General features: G+C 39.3%; 1 long non-coding RNA gene across 1 annotated transcript; it reads right to left on the reverse strand.

Annotated features, from left to right (window-relative positions):
- Positions 1–11809: 11809 nt before the first annotated feature.
- LOC105377143 (uncharacterized) lies at positions 11810–19768 on the reverse strand. Its single transcript, NR_135533.1, has 3 exons — positions 19659–19768; positions 14229–14379; positions 11810–12037 (listed from the first exon to the last, which is right to left on the reverse strand). It is a non-coding gene; the product is annotated as an uncharacterized LOC105377143 (long non-coding RNA).
- Between the last annotated feature and the right edge of the window lie 1179 nt (positions 19769–20947).

The raw sequence follows: 20947 nt of genomic DNA on the forward strand, positions 1-20947 counted from the left end.
CTGGAAACATACTAGAGTCTCCCAGCGAGATTTAGGAAATCTTGATGCCCAGACCACACCCGGTTGAATCAAATCAGACGCTCTGGGAGGTGGAGCTCAGGCATCCATAATTTTCAAAGCTCCTTGAGTGATTCTAATATGTAGTCAAGACGGAGAACTTCCTTTCAGCATAGCTTGACATAAAAAAAAAATTCAATATAGGGAAGTCAGGCCTGAATCAAATCTATGAGAGTACCTTACTTCAAGTTCTCAAGAACTTCCCTTAGAGCATTAGTGATACTCTGTTCTTTGATCAGAAAGATAACTTTACTGAACAGGTAAAACTCATATGCCTGCAGCCAGCTTTACTGCTATGCTCAATTGAGAAACTTGCTAAAAGCCAGACTTCTGGGACCTACTTATAGACATGGATTGATTCATCAGGGGCCGCTGGGGGGAGGGGGGGGGACAGTGGGCAGCGGGGGAGCCTAGGAAATGGTGTTTTTAACAAGCAACTAGGTGATTCTGATGCAATTAACCCTTGGTCTAAGTCTCAGAAACAGTACCTTAGACTAGCCCTTCTCAATCAGGGGTGACTATCCCCTTCAGGGGACATTTGGCAATGTCTGGAGACACTTTTGATTGTCACAGCGGGAGTCTGTGTGTGTCTGTGCTACAGGAATCTGGTGAGTCAAGGCCAGGGATGCTGTTCAATGTCTTACAACCCAAAGGACAGCCCCCCAAAAACAAATAATAATTATCCCGTCCAAAATATCAAGAGTGCCAAGGTTGAGAAACTCTAATCTCTCTTCTCAATCAACTTCCTTTCTGCTAGCCTCAAAGAAAGGCATCACCCTCTTTAGAACTTCCACAGCTCTTTCTGGTGTGAAAAATCACCTGTGTCTGATTCATCTCCCTGACAGAAGAAAACCCTCCTCAGGCCAGGATCCCCGCTTCATTCATTTCTGAGTGTGGCCTCATTTCTCCTCCAGCACACAGTCCTCCCTCCATAAATATTCCAGCCATTTCAAACAAAATGAAAATACCCTTCAGGACCAATCACGAGATGGCTTTGTGATTGGTAACCATGCATACCCAGTGTCTACAAGGAGAAGGAAAACCCATGGCCGGGGCTCATTTTCAGCCTAAAAGTTGAATACAAATCTACCAGCCTTCATCTAAGAAAATGGCTCTCCATATATATTTTTTTCAACATTCATCAAAAATTCCAGTGGCTTCTGGGGCTGCTTGGGGTCTCTAAAGGGCAAGTCAGTTGTGTGAACACGAGGACCACCCACGGAGCTCAGCCATCACGCAAGGAACCTCGTTGGCTGTGTCTACTACAGTGTCCGGCTACCAGTTGGCAACTATTAAGTGGTTCACTTGGTCCCTGAGCCAACCCTGAATTCCAGAAAGTCAAATCCAGCAAATAACTTTACACAGATCTGTGAGGGAAATGAACAAGGGAACAGTGCTCCCCATGGCTCTAAAAATAACCAGGTAATTACCTCTGAAGATCTCTTAAGAAGATGCACTTAACTGCACAGAATGAAGCAGCAAAGGCCTCATTCGTTTGTTGATAGGAGCTGTCTCTATGTAGTCAGCCAACTTTGGAGTGTTGGAAACCCAATCAATATTTGGGTACTATGGAGTTACTATGCTACTGGGCTGATCATAGTTAAAAACAAGAAACTGCCCTTAGTGAGGCTGACCTGACCACATTTTTTACTAAATTGATCATGCTAGTTTTCCTGACTTTGATTTTTGTTCTGATTTTAATGCTTGGCATGAATGTTGTGGTGAAAGGTATCCACTAATTTTTACTTTATGTGTTGGAGAAATGTATCAACACCATCAATTCTTTAAATGCTACTTTAAAGATATTCCACCTCCAGCAAGACTGTTGAATGCAGAAATGGAATATATCACAGATTGGTGGTGAGGTTCCACCAATTTAGCAATTTTTCTCCCATGGTTAATCACCCACAGAATACACTGGTCTTTCTCTTCTTCGTGTTTTAATTTGCAGTCTTGGCAATATATGCTAAAATGACTTGGAGTTATGAAAAGTATGAAACAGTGTTTGTTTCAAATAGTTGGCTAGGTGCTTCATCAGCCGGAGGCCTAACACAGGTGTGAATATTTGTTTATAATCCAAACACAGCAAAGTACAGTCCCATTTTGCACTCCCTTTTTTCCATATAATGCTTTAAATATTTTCTTCGTGATGGCCAGTGACTTTGTTTAACTTTAAAAAAGGCTGAATGGAAAGAAAGGGCCTGGTGACTGGAAACTGTTTGTACAAGGGCCTGCAGTGAGTGATGCTAAGCTGAGCTGGGCGTGGAGCCCTGACATTTTGTCAGCTCCCTCAGGAGGCAGATGTGATGTCCACGACTCACCTGTCAAGTGCTGATAGAAAAACAACTCTGTCCTAGGTAGCCGTTAAGGCTACATACACGACCTCTAACCCCAGGACCCCTTCTGGAGTTTTCCACTGGGTGTCAAAATCCTTTCAAATACTTCCAGCTGGGCATCTCCTTGAAGTATAATTGCAGCTCAGCATTTTAACACTGGGTCCTTGCGGAGGGAATTTCTCTGTCTTTTATTTTCCCCTCCCCCACGGTAAGGACCAGTTCTGACATCTCACTGGTAGCAAGAGAGAAAGGTTGCCCTCATTGTTTAAAACAGCCTTTGCCTCCCAGTTGAATCCAAGTGTCCTCCTGAAAGTAGAGTATTTTTGAGGCCACTCGAATTCCTGTTCTCATCTCAAACTTCTGAAGCCCTTCATGCATCCTGCATGACAATAAATTTTTCCATGCTCTGGGGCCCAGGGTCTTCCAAGGGCTTGTTTTCATTTCTCTTTTTGCAAAAGAGGCAACAACAAAGAGGAACTCAGATGCCCTGACTCCAAGATTCAGTGTTTAAAAAAATAAAACAACAACAACAACAAAACCTAGTAATTGAATTTCAAGACAATGTGCAAGTCTTTTGATCTCCATTTTCTCCTAACATGATAGAAACCCCCAAAATTATTTTTTTAAAAAAGAAAAAAAAATTGGGGGAAAACCAACATACGATGTAGCTCAGAGAAAAGAATTCATGGCTAAAGCAATACATTTCTCACAAATGGAAATGTGCCTCTTCAATCAGCACAGCAAAAACTGTCAGTTGATTTAGGCCATTCAGAGTAATAAATAATGAATTTCATGGAGGAAGGCAAAATCATCTTAAAATTATATCAGTTGAGCTCCAACAAGCTCTAAGAGTTCTTGGATTGAGCATTTCTCAAGACGAACCAAAATGGCCTTGGACTGTGTCCACAAGGTAACAGATCTATAGCAATCTCGTTGAAGCCACATTATTTCCACTGTTCCTTCAAGAGATGGTTTCTTTTTTTCTCTCATTTCTCAGTCAGACTAAAGGACCTCAGCGTTTGCTAAGCACATGGATGTTCATGGCTCCTCTACAGAAATTTTGATTTAAATGAGCTAAAAATGACCAAAATAAAAGGAAAATCACAAACTATAATCTTTAGAAAGTATTAACATCATTTTCTCCATTTTATGAATGAGGAAATTGAGATTCAGAGAGGTAAAGTGGCCTTTTCTCCCAGGTTATAGAGCTAGTAAATGACAAACTCTCAATGAGCGCTTGAATTTCCTTCTCTTCTCTTCTCTTTTCTCTTCCTCCTCTTCCCTTCTTTCTTTCTCTCCTTCTCCTTGTCCTCCTCCTTCTCTTTCTTTTTCTTCCTTCTTTCTTCTTCCATCCTCCCTCTTTCTCCTTCTTCTTCTTCCTCTTCTTCTTTTTTAGAGTTGGAGTCTCGCTATTTTGCCCAGGCTGGTCTTGAACTCCTGGACTCAAGGTATCCTCCCACCTCAGCCTCCCAAAGTGTTGGGATTACAAGTGTGAACCACCGAGCCCAGCCTCCTCCATTTCTTTAAAGCCCTGGGCTTAAAAGTGGTTCATACATTTCTGGGAAAAATAAACTGACAGATGATTATTGGACCCATGATAGGCAGATAGATAAACAGATGGCACCATTCATGATAACATATCCTTAGGATGGGAATACTAACTGGGCTAGTTTAGGTGCTCAAATTAGCAAAGTCATTGTACAACCTGATACCTGGATGTCATATTTGCCTGACTCTTCTAGAACAACTGCATATGATAAATTGTGTCAAGTGAGGTTAGCCCTTCTGCCCTCCCTGTGGGATCCTAGGCTTAGTTTTCAGGCATTTCCTCCCATTTTCTTTTAAGAGAGTGTGTGCCATCAGCCTGAGTCACTTCAGCTTCCTCAGTCACCAGAAAGCCCCTAGACAGCCCAGCCTAGTTCCCATTGCCCGGCCCAGGCACCAGCTGTGTCCAATCAAAGCAATGGCCTCCGACCTTGTTATTCACATGCTTGGATGTTTAGTCTGATGACCTGGGGAACTGGAAGAAGGAAAAAAGTATAAATCTCTGGAAGAAACTAGAAATGTTCTGGGTCAAACAATATTTTTGTAGATCTGTTGTTTGTGAATACTCTTTCTGAAACCACTTAGCTTATTGTGAAATGCACTGTTGAAGGATGCAAAGGATGGTGTACTACCTTGATAGGCTCTGCACCATCAGAATCAGCATCGCTTGGGAGCTTGTTACGAATGCAGTATCTTAAGTCCCAGACCCACTGAATTAGAATATTAATTTTAATGTTAGGAATGCAGTGTCTTGGGTCCCAGACCTATTGAATTAGAATATGAATTTCAATGAGATCCCTAGGTGATTCACATGTACATTTAAGTCTGCAAAGAGCCCAGGGGCTGAAGAGATCTACAACAGTTCCCTCTTCCACTTTGCCTCCCTTTGCTGCTGGGATGCATGATCACTGGCCAGAAAGTGAGCCCTTCCAACCACTTCCTTTTCTTCTTCACCTCTGCCTTACTCATCCTTTCTCTTTCATTCCTTGTCCTGCCTGTCCACCACCAACCCCCTTCTACTGAAGTCTCTAGAATTCTCTTTGCTTGACATGAAATATCACTATACAATGCAGTCTTTTCCCTAGAAAACTTAATAGCAATCCTTTTTTCAAGTAGAGGTCATTCAACCTTTCTTACTTTCTATAACTCAGGACAAAAAGTAAAAGACAGATTTTTCCCTCACTGATCATGGATGCTTCCAGATCACACTCATTCTAGAACTTTTCCTTTGAGGATTTCTTAAATACAGCACAGAAAAGCCTGATACATTTTTCAATATTAAAATTAAGAAAATAGGCTCAACAAAAGATAGCAAAAATAAAATTTTAAAAAAAGTTTAAAAATGCATTTGCCACTCAGAATTAGTGTCTAGAATATATAATGAGGTTCTATATACCAATTAAAAAATAACACCAATTTACAGAAAATGGGTAATAGATACATTGAAGCAATTCACAGACCAAGAAACATGAATACCCACAAAAATATGAAAAGATTCTTAACCACACTAGTAATTAGGGAAGTAGATGCCAAAACCTTAGTAAATATCATTTCACACCCTATTAAAAAGTTGGATAATATCAAGTGGAGATGACGATATGGAGTAATGGAAACTTAGACTCCTGGAGAGAATATAAATGTTTATGACTACACGAAAGAGCAATTTGGCAGTATCTAGTCATGCTAAAGAAGCCCTCACACTATGACCAAGAGTTTCACAGCTAGGTAAGACCAGAGCAGCTCTCACCCAGACGCACATGAAGATACGTAAAAGGTGTTCACTGGAGCAGTGTTTGAAATGAGACACATTAGAACTGACTTCATGTTCTCCAAGAGGAAGAAGGCTAAATTGCATATTCACATAATAAAAAACTATGCAGCAGTGAACGTGAACTCTCCCTCTCTATATATGTATGTAGATATACCGTACATATATTTTATATATATTATATGTATTATATATTATATACTTGATATATGTATACATACTTTGTGTATACTTAATATATATTTATACTTACATACACTTAATATATATGACATACTTAATATATGTATACTATACAATATATAAATATACAGTATGTATAATTTATATTATATAAATATATATTATAATTAATGTATACTATATATATTTATATATGAAATATATACATATAATGTATAACATATGTATTTTTATATACATATTATAAATATGTATATAATTAAGAAAATAGGCTCAACAAAAGATAGCAAAAAGAAAAATTATAAAAAAGTTTAAAAATGCATTTGCCACATATATATACATATACACATATGTATATACATATAGAATATGTATATATTGTATATACATATTATAGAATATGTATATATAGCTATGTATATATTATTATAGGATATGTACATATTATACAATGAATACATATTCTATAATATACACATATTCTATATATTATACAATATATACATATTCTATATATGATACAATATATACATATTCTATAATACGGATACATATTTTATAATAATATATACATATTCTATAATATGGATACATATTTTATACATTATATATACTCTATATATTAGGGAAAATAATGTGTATATATATTCAGGAAAATAATGTGTATATTTTATACATTATATGATACATATATACTATATAATGTATAAAAATACATATTACATAATATGTATATACTATATAATATACTATATACTATACTATATACTATATATATACTATACTATAATATACTATATACTATACTATATACTATGATATAATATAATATAGTATATATATTATATATACTATATTATATTATAGTATAATATAGTATATATAATATACTATAGTATAGTATATACTATATTGCAGAGCTTTGGGAGCCCAAGGCAGGAGGATCACTTGAGGCCAGGAGTTTCAGACCAGCTTGGGTAACATAGCAAGACCCCATCTCTATTAAAAAATTTTAAAAATAGCTGGGTGTGGGGAAGCATACCTGTAGTCCCAGCTACTCAGGATGCTAAGGCAGGAGGATGGCTTGAGCCCAGGAGATGGAGGCTGCAGTGAGTTATGGAGCACCACTCCACTCCAGCCTGGGCAACAGAGCAAGACCTGGTCTCAAAAAATAATAATTTTAAAAATAAATAACTAAACAAGAGAGAAAAAAAGCAGGCTGGGCACGGTGGCTCATGCCTATAATTCCAGCACTTTGGGAGGCCAAGGTGGGTGGATCACTTGAGGCCAGAAGTTCGAGATCAGCCTGGCCAACATGGTGAAATGCCATCTCTACCAAAAATACAAAAATTAGATGGGCATGGTGGCATGTGCCTGTAGTCCCAGCTACTTGAGAGTCTGAGGTATGAGAATCACTTGAATCACAGAAGCTGTAGTGAGCCAAGATTGCACCACTGCACTCCAGCCTGGGCAAAAGAGCGAGACTCTATCTCAAAAAAAGAAAAGAAAAAAAAGAAAAACAAAAAACAAATCATAGCTTGTGCATTACTAAGACAAGTGCAGTTAAAGGTTGCTGGAATGTAAGAGACCCAGGATATACTATATATACTATAGTATAGTATATATAATATACTATATACTATATTATATATATACTATATTATACAATATATTATATACAATATACTATATTATATACAAATATTATATACAATAATATTATATACAAAATATTATATACAATATACTATATTATACAATATATACTATAATACAATATATACTAATATGTATATATTGTATATATAATATAGTATATATATACTTCATATATATACACATATATAGTATATATACTATATATACTGTATATATAGTATATATACTATATATACTGTATATATAGTATATATAATATAGTATATATAGTATATAATATAGTATATATAATATAATATAAATATAAATATATTATATATACTATAGTATATATAATATATACATGTTATATAAGTAAATATTTTATATATTATATAATTTACTGTTGAATGATAAAAGCATATTGTAGGCCAGGTGCAGTGGCTCATGCCTGTAATTCCAGCACTTTGGGAAGCCGAGGCGGGCAGATCACCTGAAGTTGGGAGTTGGAGACCAGCCTGACCAACATGGAGAAATCCTGTCTCTACTAAATATACAAAATTAGCTGGGCACGGTGGCACATGCCTGTAATCCCAGCTACTCAGGAGGCTGAGGCAGAAGAATTGCTTGAACCCAGGAGGCACAGGTTGCAGTGAAGCGAGATCACACCATTGCACTCCAGCCTGGGCAACAAGAACGGAATTCTGTCTCAAAAAAAAAAAAAAAAAAAAAAAGCATATTGTGGACAAATACATAGTATATCATTTACACAACATTTAAAGACATGGAAAACAAAGCTTCATTAAAGGAAACTTTATATATAGTAAAAAAGTAAAGCAATGCTTGGAAATAATAAGCATCATATTAGAACAGTGGTTATATTGGTGAGAGTAGAAAGGAGAACAAATACGTTAGGATTTACACAGGTGACTGCAATAGTGTTGGTATAAAGCTTTCTTAAGCTGAGTGATAGATACAAAGGATAATAAATACCTTTTTAAATACACTTTTGGGTTTCTGAAATACTGATTAAGTTACAACAAATAATCTTTACTCTTTAAGACTCTGTAACTCAGCTCTATCACCCTCTCCCCACTGTTGTCACCATGATATATTGATGAATTCTCATCCATACCCAGTATACAGTTCTGTCCATCCTTCCTACCACGTCCTGCATGACTTCAGCACTCCTACTGCTCAGCCAGCCAATGACTTCACACTTCCTGGGTCTCTTACATTCCAGCAACCTTTAACTGCACTTGTCTTAGTAATGCACAAGCTATGATTTGTTTTTTGTTTTTCTTTTTTTTCTTTTCTTTTTTTGAGATAGAGTCTCGCTCTTTTGCCCAGGCTGGAGTGCAGTGGCGCAATCTTGGCTCACTACAGCTTCTGTGATTCAAGTGATTCTCATACCTCAGACTCTCAAGTAGCTGGGACTACAGGCACATGCCACCATGCCCATCTAATTTTTGTATTTTTGGTAGAGATGGCATTTCACCATGTTGGCCAGGCTGATCTCGAACTTCTGGCCTCAAGTGATCCACCCACCTTGGCCTCCCAAAGTGCTGGAATTATAGGCATGAGCCACCGTGCCCAGCCTGCTTTTTTTCTCTCTTGTTTAGTTATTTATTTTTAAAATTATAATTTTTTGAGACCAGGTCTTGCTCTGTTGCCCAGGCTGGAGTGGAGTGGTGCTCCATAACTCACTGCAGCCTCCATCTCCTGGGCTCAAGCCATCCTCCTGCCTTAGCATCCTGAGTAGCTGGGACTACAGGCATGCATCCCCACACCGACCTATTTTTACAGTTTTTTTAATAGAGATGGGGTCTTGCTATGTTACCCAAGCTGGTCTGAAACTCCTGGCCTCAAGTGATCCTCCTGCCTTGGACTCCCAAAGCTCTGCAATTACAGGTGTGAGCCACCACTCCCAGTCACAGGTTGCATTTTGGATCTTGTCACCCAGAACATCTCTACCCAATACCCCTGGCACTCTCTTCTGCTTTTTCCTTGCACTTGCCCAGCTAATATTCCCTTTGATCTCCTGGGGGCTCTATTTCCTTGACTTTCTTCCTCCATTCCTCCCCTGAGTTATTTTCTTCTTTCCTAGCAAACTAGGACCTATAACCAACACCTTAGAGCTCTGGTTGCAACTGTCTTACCCAACTCCAGGTGTCCACTTTCTCAAATCCTGGCTTGGGATGCTGAACAATGCTAACAGAAATCATGTGATCGCCCTGATCAGCATCATTTCAAATCTGTTTTCTCCAGAGCAGGGTGACTCTAGGTCCTGATGCCACTCTTTTCACTCACCCCTAGTTGAAATCATTATCTGCCTTAAATATCAGCTCTGGCTCCCCTTTGCCTAGAACGGCGAGCTAACTGTGGCCTGCAGAGCTAATGGCTCAGGGAGGTGCCACAGGAGTGAGCCCGGGAGGAGAACACCTCTTTGGCAAGCTCTGCCTCCCCATCCTTGCTTCAATCTGAGTTGGTCTGCTTTAATCATTTAAAATATTGGTCTTACAAGTAAGATTTCACATAATAAAAAAGGGAGGAGTCCTGCTCTGCAAAATCTTTGAGTGGCTTTCTATTACACTTGGTATAACACATAAACCCATTACTTACATGGAGTTTGTGGGATGTAGCTCTGTCCTCCTCTCCAACCTCATCTAGCGCTATTCATCCCCGGCATCCCACACTGCAGATACAACTCTACTCTCACCTCTAGGCTCATGTGCCTTCTACCGGCACACAGACCTGTTCCTCTGTTCTTTGTATGCCTGATGCTTCGTTCTCAAATTTCTCCTTACGTGTCACCTGCCCTGGTCTTCCTCATTATTCTCTATCACACTACCTTATTCATCTCCTTAACAACACTTCTTGCCATCTTCATTCAACTTTTTTGTTTCTTTCCTCATTCATTGTCTGTTTGTCCCCTCACTAGACTGTAACCGCCGTGATGGGAGGCATCACGTTTGTTTCATTTAACAATTAGTAGCAGAGCCAAGGAGTAGCTTCAGCCCCTCTTCTAAGGCTCAGAGTAGGAAAATGGATTTGAAATGATGCTGATCAGGACCTTCACCCCAAACTGCCTCAAATAAATAACTAAAGGAGAAACAGCATCCTTTGGTGCACATCCTTGCTGTACACATAAGGCTTTGTAGAAGGTGCCATGGCTCTCTCCGTTCCAGTCAGATGCTGCCCATGGACCTTTGTACAGAGAAATCCTGGAGGTGCGCTGGGATCAGTGTATCCCTAGTGTATCCTATTCACATACATAGAAGCACACAGGAACATTTTTTTGAATGAATCAATCTTTGAAAGTTTGAAAAATGCCAGCTGAGGAAATAAAGTTCACCTCTCCTAAATCACTTCGAGGAAGAAAACTAATTGGAAATCAGTTTTCTCACTTCTCCTGATAATCCATTACTTACCCATTGTCCTATTCCAGGACAAAAGACAACACACTACACAAAGAAAAAACTCTCCTTCCCAACACATGTGCTACATTGAATCTCCAGATATGATGAACTGAGACACTTACAGAGTTAAGTGTGAAAGGGCGAACTGATTTCACAATAAATTGGTTAACTATTTAAGTGTTTCAAGATTCTACTTAAGTGTACTCAGTCCATCTTGATGTAAGTAGCAAACTTTCAAAAGTTTGGAATGCCTGTCATTGTGGCAATATGCAAGTGCACTGCAGGACACAGAACAGTAGTTAATTACTTCAAATATATGAGACAGATTAGATATGATCAGTAGTTAAGCAAGCCAAAATCCTAAACAGAAAAATCTCAGTGGTATCCATGTGTGTACACAGGTTGTCATGGCCACACCTTGGCTTGGCAAGTGCATCCAGGAACATTTTCTCCTAGGCTGCCTTTTCCCTTGCCTGTCATGATTGTCCACAAGCCTTATAATAAAACATGGTGAGATAGCAAACGTGGGTTATGTGGGTGTGTTTGTCCTTCTCTGCAAACAAGATTCAGTCTTTCAGAAGAAATACACAAGCAGAAAATGGCTTCAGACAAAAAAAACAGAGTAGTATCTATGGGTAATAGAAGGCACTGTGAAGGCGGATGGGTGCAGGGTGTTCAGGTGTGTGAATAGGGCATCTGGGTCAGTACAGGGATTGGAACTGAAATGGAGGTGACAGTGGAGGTTATACAGTAGGGAGAGTGAGTCTGATTATGATGACAGCTACAATTTTTTTTTAAAATAACTCTGACAAACCAGGTACTGGGCCCTTTACTTAGGTTTGCTTTTTTAACCCTTTCAGAAATACTATGAGATAAGGGCTTTTATTATTCTCATTTTATATGTGAAGACACTGAGGCTCAAAGAGATGAAGTAATTTGCCGAAGGTCACGCAGTTAATTCCACAGTCAGGATTTTATCTAGGATTCCGTACTTCCAAACTTTGTGCTTATAAACACTGTTCCATCAGTGTCCTCTGTTCCACTGTGTATGTTCCATACCGTTTCACTGTATTCTCTATTGGCAGGACAGTCTAGAGATTAGGAGAAAGGTTAAGCTTAGAGCTGTAATTGTAGGGGGAATTTCTTAGAACATAACAAAGACAATGAGAGAGTCAATCTCTGGCATCTTCCCCGAGGTGTGGTATACAGGTGGGACTTGGGGAGCACTGAGAATTTGTATTGGAGAAAGTATGTTCTGTTGTTCCTTAATTTGAGGATACAATAAAAAAAGAAGTAAATCTGTGGCTGAGGTGAAGGGCAGAACAGTAAAAGATACAGGAAAATAGATGTAAAACAATAACCACTAAAATGTACTGGCCAGTTTACTGAATGCTTAGAATTGCTGATATTGGTTTTAGATTGAATTGCTTTTTCTTCAGGTAACTCCATGTAGCAGGGTCTAGGGTGAGATGCCTAAGAGGTGTATTTATTTAATGATAGTTAATGATATTCCTGAGTAGAAGGGAAGAGATCAGTTGGTTCTCCATAAGAGAAGTCAAAAAGGTTGCAACAAACTATGTAATTCCTGCCTCACTATCAGAAGAATGGAAACTGGTATGGTTTGGCTGTGTCCCCACCCAAATCTCATCTTGAATTGTAGCTCCCACAATTCCCACGTGTTATGGGAGGGACCTGGTGGGAGATAATTGAATCACGGGGGGCAGGTCTTTCCCGTGCTGTTCTCATGATAGTGAATAAGTCTCATGAGATCTGATGGTTTCATAAAGGGGAGTTCCTCTGCACATGCTCTCTTGCCTGCCACCATGTAAGACTTGACTTTACTCCTCCTTTGCCTTCCACCATGATTGTGAGGCCTCCCCAGCCATGTGGAACTGTAAGTCCATTAAACCTCTTTCCTTTATAAATCACCCAGTCTTGGGTATGTGTTTATTAGTAGCATGAGAACATACTAATACACACTTGTCTGATTCATTATGACTATTCCATTTCTTTCTCTAGAGCTTTGCTACTCAAAATGTGGTCCATGGAACATTAGCACCATCTGCGAGCTTTAACCCAGACTGATTGAAATAGAGCTTGCATTTTAACAGGCTCCCCAGGCAATTCCTATATGCAGTAACGTCTGAGAAGTACTGCCCTAGACTATGTATTGTGCCAGCTCGGCAACTTGGTGAACTCTTGTTCAGCCTTCAAAGCCTAGCTCAGATATCACCTGTTCTTTAAAGCTTCCCCTAGCAATGTCTTAAAGAGCTAATCCCTCCTTCCTTTCTGCTGTTTCTCCTCCTACTCATCTCTACTCTGCTCGTGACACTGTGTTCTTGAGGAGAGGGTACCTGTGTTACTCCTCTTTGTATTCTACTGTGTCAGCTGTGTCACTTCAAAAAGACAGGTTCTAAAAAGCATCCAGTTATTCGATTTAGTTATTGTTACTCAATTTAAGTCCTTCTTGGACAATGATTTTTAAATTTTTCTATGCACAAAAATGACCTGGTCATCTTGTTAAATTGGAGGCCTGTAGACCTCACCCCTGTGAATTCTGATTCTGCATGTTTAATTGGGCCCCAGGAATTTACATTTTAACTAGCAGCTCTAAGGATTTCTGGTGCAGATGACTGAGGGAAATCTCTGGTTTAGAAACATTTCCTGGTGTCTGTAATATGGAGCTTCTTTCTGGTCTAGTGGATTGCCGCTGTCCTGCATATTGTGCTGGTCTTTATGTCCTCTAGGTATCAAGAATGCCTTAATCGATTAGTATAGGAGATACCCAAATATGTATGGACTATATATCAGTAAGGATGCCTTTATACAGAAATGAAAATATGCTACATTGCAGGCCCTAACAGTTTCAGTTACTCGCTATGGTAGAGACTGTTGTAAAGATCTCTTTCCCTAAGGTGGAGGTTGTAGTGAGCCGATAATCGCGCCATTGCACGCCATCCTGGGCGACAGAGTGAGACTCTGTCTCAAAAAAGGAAAAAAAAAATCTCTCTCCTTAAATGGACTCAGTGGTTCTTAGGACCCATTCCAGTATGTGGGAAACACGTGAATATTTTCCACATACACAGCTCTGATTGTGTGAGTGCTGCTATGTGCCAGGCAACATACGGTAGGTGAATACGTTGATGATTTCATCGAATTCACACCATGATGCTGGACACGATGCAAGGGACACTGTCACCCTTTGAATGATAAGAAAATGAAGTCAGGGGTTCGTGCTTCTTTCCTGTTTGCCAAACTGTCTCTCTGTTTCTTCAGCTATACCTTTTACTCATTATCCATGTAAAATTCCACAGGGATCAGCAGAGGGTGTGGTTGTCAGGCTTCCCTAAAGTTTCTTCACTGCACTCCACTTCTAAGCCTCAATCATAACCATTTTTTTCCAGTTGTAGAACATATCTGTACTAGGCCATGTCTGGAAAACACAAAGAAGTGATTTATTTCCTTTCTTAAGAGAATTTTTAAACAGTTTGATTTTTTCCTTAGCGGTGCTGTCTCTAAATCCACACATATCTTCATGGCTGGAGTAAAAGATACATGGATACATATTTTTGAGTTGTTATAGCAATGGAATCAAATCACAAAAGAGTGGAGACAATCAATTTTTGCAGTTGATTGGAAAGACAATTAGAAAATTAGATTGTCAGGGGCATAGCTAATTTAGTTAATGCTGCAGAGTTCTCTGAGAATAAAGCAAAGTTGTTTTGTCTCGGGAGGATTTGTTATTTGGAGGGTTGGGAGAAAAGAATGGATTAAATAAATTATGGTACATCCGTAAATTGAGACACAATGGTGCTGATTTCTTTCAATGTCTACTATATGTAGGGCACAAAGATGAATACAGCAGGCCCAGTTCTTGCCCTCATAGAATTTATTGTCTATTGAATGAAGTAGAACTATGTAGATCTATATATACTATCATCGAAAGCCATCCAAGATACGCTGTAAATAGTGCATAATGTAAAAACGGTATATGTTTGTGTACAAATGAATTTGCCAGATGGTTACATCCAATGTTATTAATGGCAGTTATCTCTGAGGACTAGTAATGGGTTTGGGTTGGGGATCGGAGGAATGGAAGGGAATGATGAACTGTGCAACTTTTTGTGGCAGGGACTGTGAACTACCTGCCCTCGAATCCCTTCTTCAGTCAAAAAAGAAAACAAAATCAAACCAAAACAGAACAAAATTAATACACAAATAAAATAAACCCCAAATATTTTCCAGACTCCTTATGGCTCGGTGTAGTCATAAGACTAAGTTCTAGGCAAGTAGAAGTGTTGTATATGACAGCTAGAAAGGGCTTCTAGAAAGGGAAGATATTTGCCCTTTTGCCTATGTTGCTTTCTGCTGCTTGGGATGTGGATTCCTGGTATGCTCCCAGCAGCCATCTTGGACCATGAGGAGATCTGGAGGGCAGAAGCCATGGAGGGGAGAACACTAGGATGAAGGACCATGAGTCTCCTTCCTACCAACCTGCTACCACTTTTGCCGTCTGCTATGATAGTAGCAGTAGCCACATATGAATATTTTAAATTAATTAAAATAACATAAAATAAAAAGTTTAATTCTTCAGCCCTACTAAGCCACATTTAAAGTGCTCAGTGGCTACCTGTGACTAGTGGCTACTAAACTGGACAAGACAAATAATAGAATATTTCCATCATCACAGAAAGTCCTATTAGATAGTGCTGCTCTGCTGCCTGGTTCCTGGTTCCAGGCTTTATAAGAGCCAATAAATCCCCATATTTACGTCTTTGTTACTTGTAGTTGAATTAAACATACACTATACCAAATCCATTTTATAATGACCATATATCAATTTTATGATATAAAACTCATATAGTTTTAAATACACAATTAAACATCAAACATGGATTAAAACAGATCAAGATATATTATAAATAACTTGGTTTGATTATTTAAAAAACAGGAATATTGTGTCAAAAATAAAATTTTTAAAACCCTGGGTATAGAAGAGATCTAGAAAATTATAAACATTTAGATGTGTTTCCAAAAGCAAAAGGCTGGGCATCTGAAATTTATATAAGCTTCACTTGGAATCGACATAGACCGCACACCAAGTAGGTGTATACATTTCTATAGAGTTGCTGTCTGCACATTCAGCTATGGAGCATATTAAGAATGTTCTGAGAGATACACTGAACATTCACAGGAGACACTTTTATAAGGATAAGATATGGTCTGGTGCTCTCTAGCTATTTATCAAACTCTCTGCTGTTTGCATTTGAAAATATACAATGACATTACATTTTAAATACCCTAAGTTATATTGTGCTGCCTTTGAACCTGCAGCAAAATTATGATACCATTGTGTATTTTTAAAGATTAAATATTTCTCATATTTTTGCACTACAGCAAGCAAACCAAAGGCTTTTTAGCATTCCAGGTCATGCAGACTCTTTCAACAAGGTTGTTTATTCTTCGTTCAACGTGTGCGGGATTCAGGAGAATCATTTCCATTCTTTTAGGAAGGTGCCACCCAGGTAATTTTTGGCACATAAACGTCAATGCATATTCCATATTCTGATCTGTTTGGAAAATGCAGTACATAAAACCCATTCACCAGGCTAAGGTCACTAAGGGCGGATAAACCAACGCTCTGCAGTGGCTGCTTATAACTAAGTAGAAAAACCTTATGCTTTCAACAGGGCACCAAATTTAGTAAGTCCCTAAGCACCCCCACCTGGTACTCTCTCAGCACAAATGGAGGACATGAGTTGGTTTTTTTTCCCTTCCTCATGTTTGTGTGTGTTTATGTGTGTGTGTGTGTGTGTGTGTGTGTGTGAGAGAGAGAGAGAGAGAGAGAGAGAAACAAAGAGAGAGAATATTTTATTCTTCCAAGTTGCGATGATTTGACATGTGCTGTTTTTACATATTTCCATTTTCTAGTTTCACTGAAAGTCTCAAAGGCTTATGGAGATGAGAATCAAAAGTTGGGAAAGTGTGTTCCTGGTAGGCAAATGGTGCTGTTATGAAAACCTTTCTAAAAATCACATTGGAAAAAAAGTGGTTTCAATTGTGGACTTTATATGACCACCGTGTCACTTTTGTATTTGCCTGAGAAACAAAGGGAGGAGAGCAAGGAGTGAAGATGGTTGGGAGATACAATTCGGAGAGAGGGCCTGTTTCTAATACTCTTAATACTAACTTGGCATTTCAGAGTGTTGTTTATCCCCTTCCAGTTCCATCAGCAGTGGTGATTTTTAGTGCCATCATTAGTAACTTGGTCTACTGTCTCATTCAATATAGCGTGAAGTCCGACATCCAGAAAATATTGAAGAACAATTTAAATTTTTACTGAAGTCTCAAGAAACAATGAGCAAAGGGGATTGCATTTTTAACTCACAGAAATGTTATAAAGTTCTCTTTTCCGCCTTTTATCCCATTGTTTCTGGAGTGCAGCCAACTCTTGTTGAATCTCCCTGCAACCTCCACGCTTTCCAGACTCCCTCTCGCATGGTTCTTTCTTGACTCCTGACCCTTGACATTTTGGATCCGGTATTTTCTTTCATCAGGGTCTTGGTCTTTTCTAATGTAAGGATTTCAAGATTTTCTGTATATTTTTTGACATTTTGGATCTGGTATTTTCTTTCATGAGGGTCTTGGTCTTTTCTAATGTAAAGATTTCAAGATTTTTCTGTATATTTTTTGACATTTTGGAACTGGTATTTTCTTTCATGAGGGTCTTGGTCTTTTCTAATGTAAAGATTTCAAGATTTTTCTGGATATTTTTTGACATTTTGGATATGCTATTTTCTTTCATGAGGTTCTTGGTCTTTTCTAATGTAAAGATGTCAAGATTTTCTGGATATTTTTAAATTATCTTTCTGCTATTCCCAGCATTAACACAACCAAAGGCCCTAGAGGGTGAGCAGGCAAACCCAGAAGCCACTCAGTAAGCACTGGGAAAAGGAAAGCCTGAGAAACTTGCATGCTACATTTTTCCTTTTGTGTGTTTCGGCTACGTACACCTTTTAACATCCTTCTAGTTCATCTTCCTTTCTTCCAGCCTTCAGGCCCCCTTAACTTTAGCTGCTCTGCAACATTAGCTAGTTTTTATCCAATGACTCCTCCCCACCCCAAAGCCAGCCACCTGTTCCTTCCCTCCCCTCTTCCCTCCCTACTGCCTCTGCTATGTGACCTTAAGCTAGTTGCCTCAGTTCCCTCGCATGTAGATCACACACCTTTTCTAGAAGGTCCCAGTGGGGCCCTCCTCTTCTGAGATTGTAAGATTCAGGTCATGCTTACTCAAGAACAAACACCTGACTTGGTTAAAAGTGAACACCTGAGCATGGGTTGCTCCTTCTCCTTTAAAGTATTTTTTGATGGCACAAGTAACAGGTATATGAGTATAAATTCCTATACAAAATGAAAACCATTAAGAATGAGACTGAAATCATTCCTTCCTCTAACCCCAAACTACACCCCCTCAATTTTTTGAGAGATTAAAGAAACACAAAAAGCCCCAAATTTCATCCACTTTACTTTTTTTTTTTTTTTTTTTTTTTTTTTTTTTTTTTTTTTTTTGAGATGGAGTCTTGCTTTGTCACCCAGGCTGGAGTGCAGTGGTGCCATCTCAGCTCACTGCAACCTCCGTCTCCCAGGTTCAAGCAATTCTCCTGCCTCAGCCTCCCATGTAGCGGGGACTATGGGTGCACGCCACCATGCCCAGCTAAGTTTTATATTTTTAGTTAGAGACAGGGTTTCACCATGTTGGTCAGGCTGGTCTCAAACTCCTGACCTCAAGCGATCCACCTGCCTCAGCCTCCCAAAGTGCTGGGATTACAGGTGTGAGCCACCGTGCCTGATCTCACTTTACTTCTTTAGGAGTTTGATCTGTATTTTTGCTGAGAGTTTTCTGTTTTTATACACATATGTATATCCCAAAACTGTATAATTTTGTTTTGTAAAGAATTGTTTAAACATATAAATGCTATTCCTGTACATTTTTTATTTTCCAGTTCCTCTTGAATATCTGAGAGGCTGGTAAAAATGAGATAAGCTGGGTAAGTGTGTTCTTGGCAGGCAATTGGTGCTGTTTTGAATAAAAATAAAAATGGTACACTGTGCTTATTGTTTTCATTTGCTTTCTTTTGCCCTTGAAGTCATTGTTACTATAGAAGAACATAGATCATTTTTTTAAAAACAGCTGCACAGTATTCCATGTAGTAGGAAGAAGTAGAATAATCATACAGGTAGCTAAAATTTATAGACTGCTGTTTGCCAAGAACTGTTATTATTTAATCTTCAAGGAACTCCATGAAATAAGCAGCCAATACTAGTCCCATTTTACAAACAAGATATCTCAGAACCAATACAAAATTACCATGCCTTATTTCATCTGTTGCCAGACACGCCAGTTGTTTCAATTGCTTGCGGTGACAAACATGAGACCAAATCTCCTTGCCGAGGTGCAGGTAGGATGGTGCCAAGATGGGAACAGATGAGGTGTGGGGCATCTGCATTTTTAGATTCAAGAGATACTTCCAGACTTCCCTCATGATCATATTAAGAGAGACTGTAAATATTGAGAAGGGTGGGGGTGGAACATAGAATGGGGAGTGAGCTGGTAGGATGGCCAGAAAGGGGATGGGTGGAGGGATGTATGGCAGATGCACCTGACGGCAATAACTTGCTTAAGCCTACCCTGAAAATGACCCCATATGGCACCTGAATATGTGTCTGGAGTTCCGAGCTAAGGAATCCAGGAGCGGCCAACTGGGAGATTTTTTCCTTGTCTGTGAAGCACATTTGAAGCCCTTGGATCCATCCTGTGGAATGTAAGCTGTACAGGAGATCCGGGCCCTTTGTTTTGGGTTAATTGAAGGTTGCCAGGTGGAGGTTGTTAGGCAGAGGGTGCTAACTGAAAATGCTATATAAACTGCATGCTTTTTGCAAGCAGTTGTGGTTCTTCTGCCCAGTCTGCCGCCACTGGACCGTCCCTGTGTGTAAGTTTCCCACTAATAAAACCCTGTGTCTCATCTGCTGGCTCCAAGTCTCTTCGGCCTCTTGAACATGATACCATCCTTGTTGAGGTTAACAGGGGTCCAGCACAACAAGGGACAGCTCAAACTCCAACTTCATCCACTTTCTAATTGTGCATAAGGAAAATTCTGGGTAAAAGCAGCCTTTTCCCACTATTTCTTCCCACCTCCCTAAACTCCAAGGCATCGTCTCACATTCTGCTTTGTCTCCCCTGCCCAAGACCTTCCACCCGCCCTGCGGTGCATCTGGGCCCCAGCTGTGCCAATGTTGTTAGGCTTAGGAAAGATTTCAAGACTTTCAGTATTTACTTTATCCCAAGAACATAAGGCAGGCAGACAGGCCTCCATCCCTACGTTCCATTTACACAGATGTCAGGCCATGGATGTAGGTTCATTTTTCATTCTTTAATCCACAGGTAAGAATTAAACCATAACCTGCCTCACCAACACCACAGCATCAATATTTTCTCAGACTGGAACATGGTTTCCCCGTTCTTATCCACCATTTAAAAATAAACTTAACATATGGCATTTGTCTTATGTCAACGGAATGCAATGTGCTTTTCTTGACATATGACTCAATTCAAACACTGGGAAAAACTTTGATATTTCAGAGGAGTGTGCAGTGGGAGGGAAGAGGATTGCTACCTTCCCCCATTAAACCGGTTAATCCCTTGAGGCAATTTTCCAGAACCTGAGATGTCCTGAGTTTCCCAGATAATTGAGTTTCTTAAATCAAAATTTGTGTCATACAGACCCAAGGGTAATGCTGGATACTTAGTAAGACTTCTTAAAATCACAGTCAAACCAATAGGTAAAATGCATGGAAGTTGGGAGCACCAAAGATTATATTTATGCAGTTTTCTCAAAGGCCCTACAATGCCAGACCAATCATTCAAACACACCCCAATGACACCACATCAATGAAGGTAAAGGAAAGAGGACATGGACACACAGCAAAAGCTTGCAAGTGGG

The sequence above is a fragment of the Homo sapiens genome, chromosome 3, assembly GCF_000001405.40.
Source record: "Homo sapiens chromosome 3, GRCh38.p14 Primary Assembly".
Taxonomy (NCBI): Eukaryota; Metazoa; Chordata; class Mammalia; order Primates; family Hominidae; genus Homo; species Homo sapiens.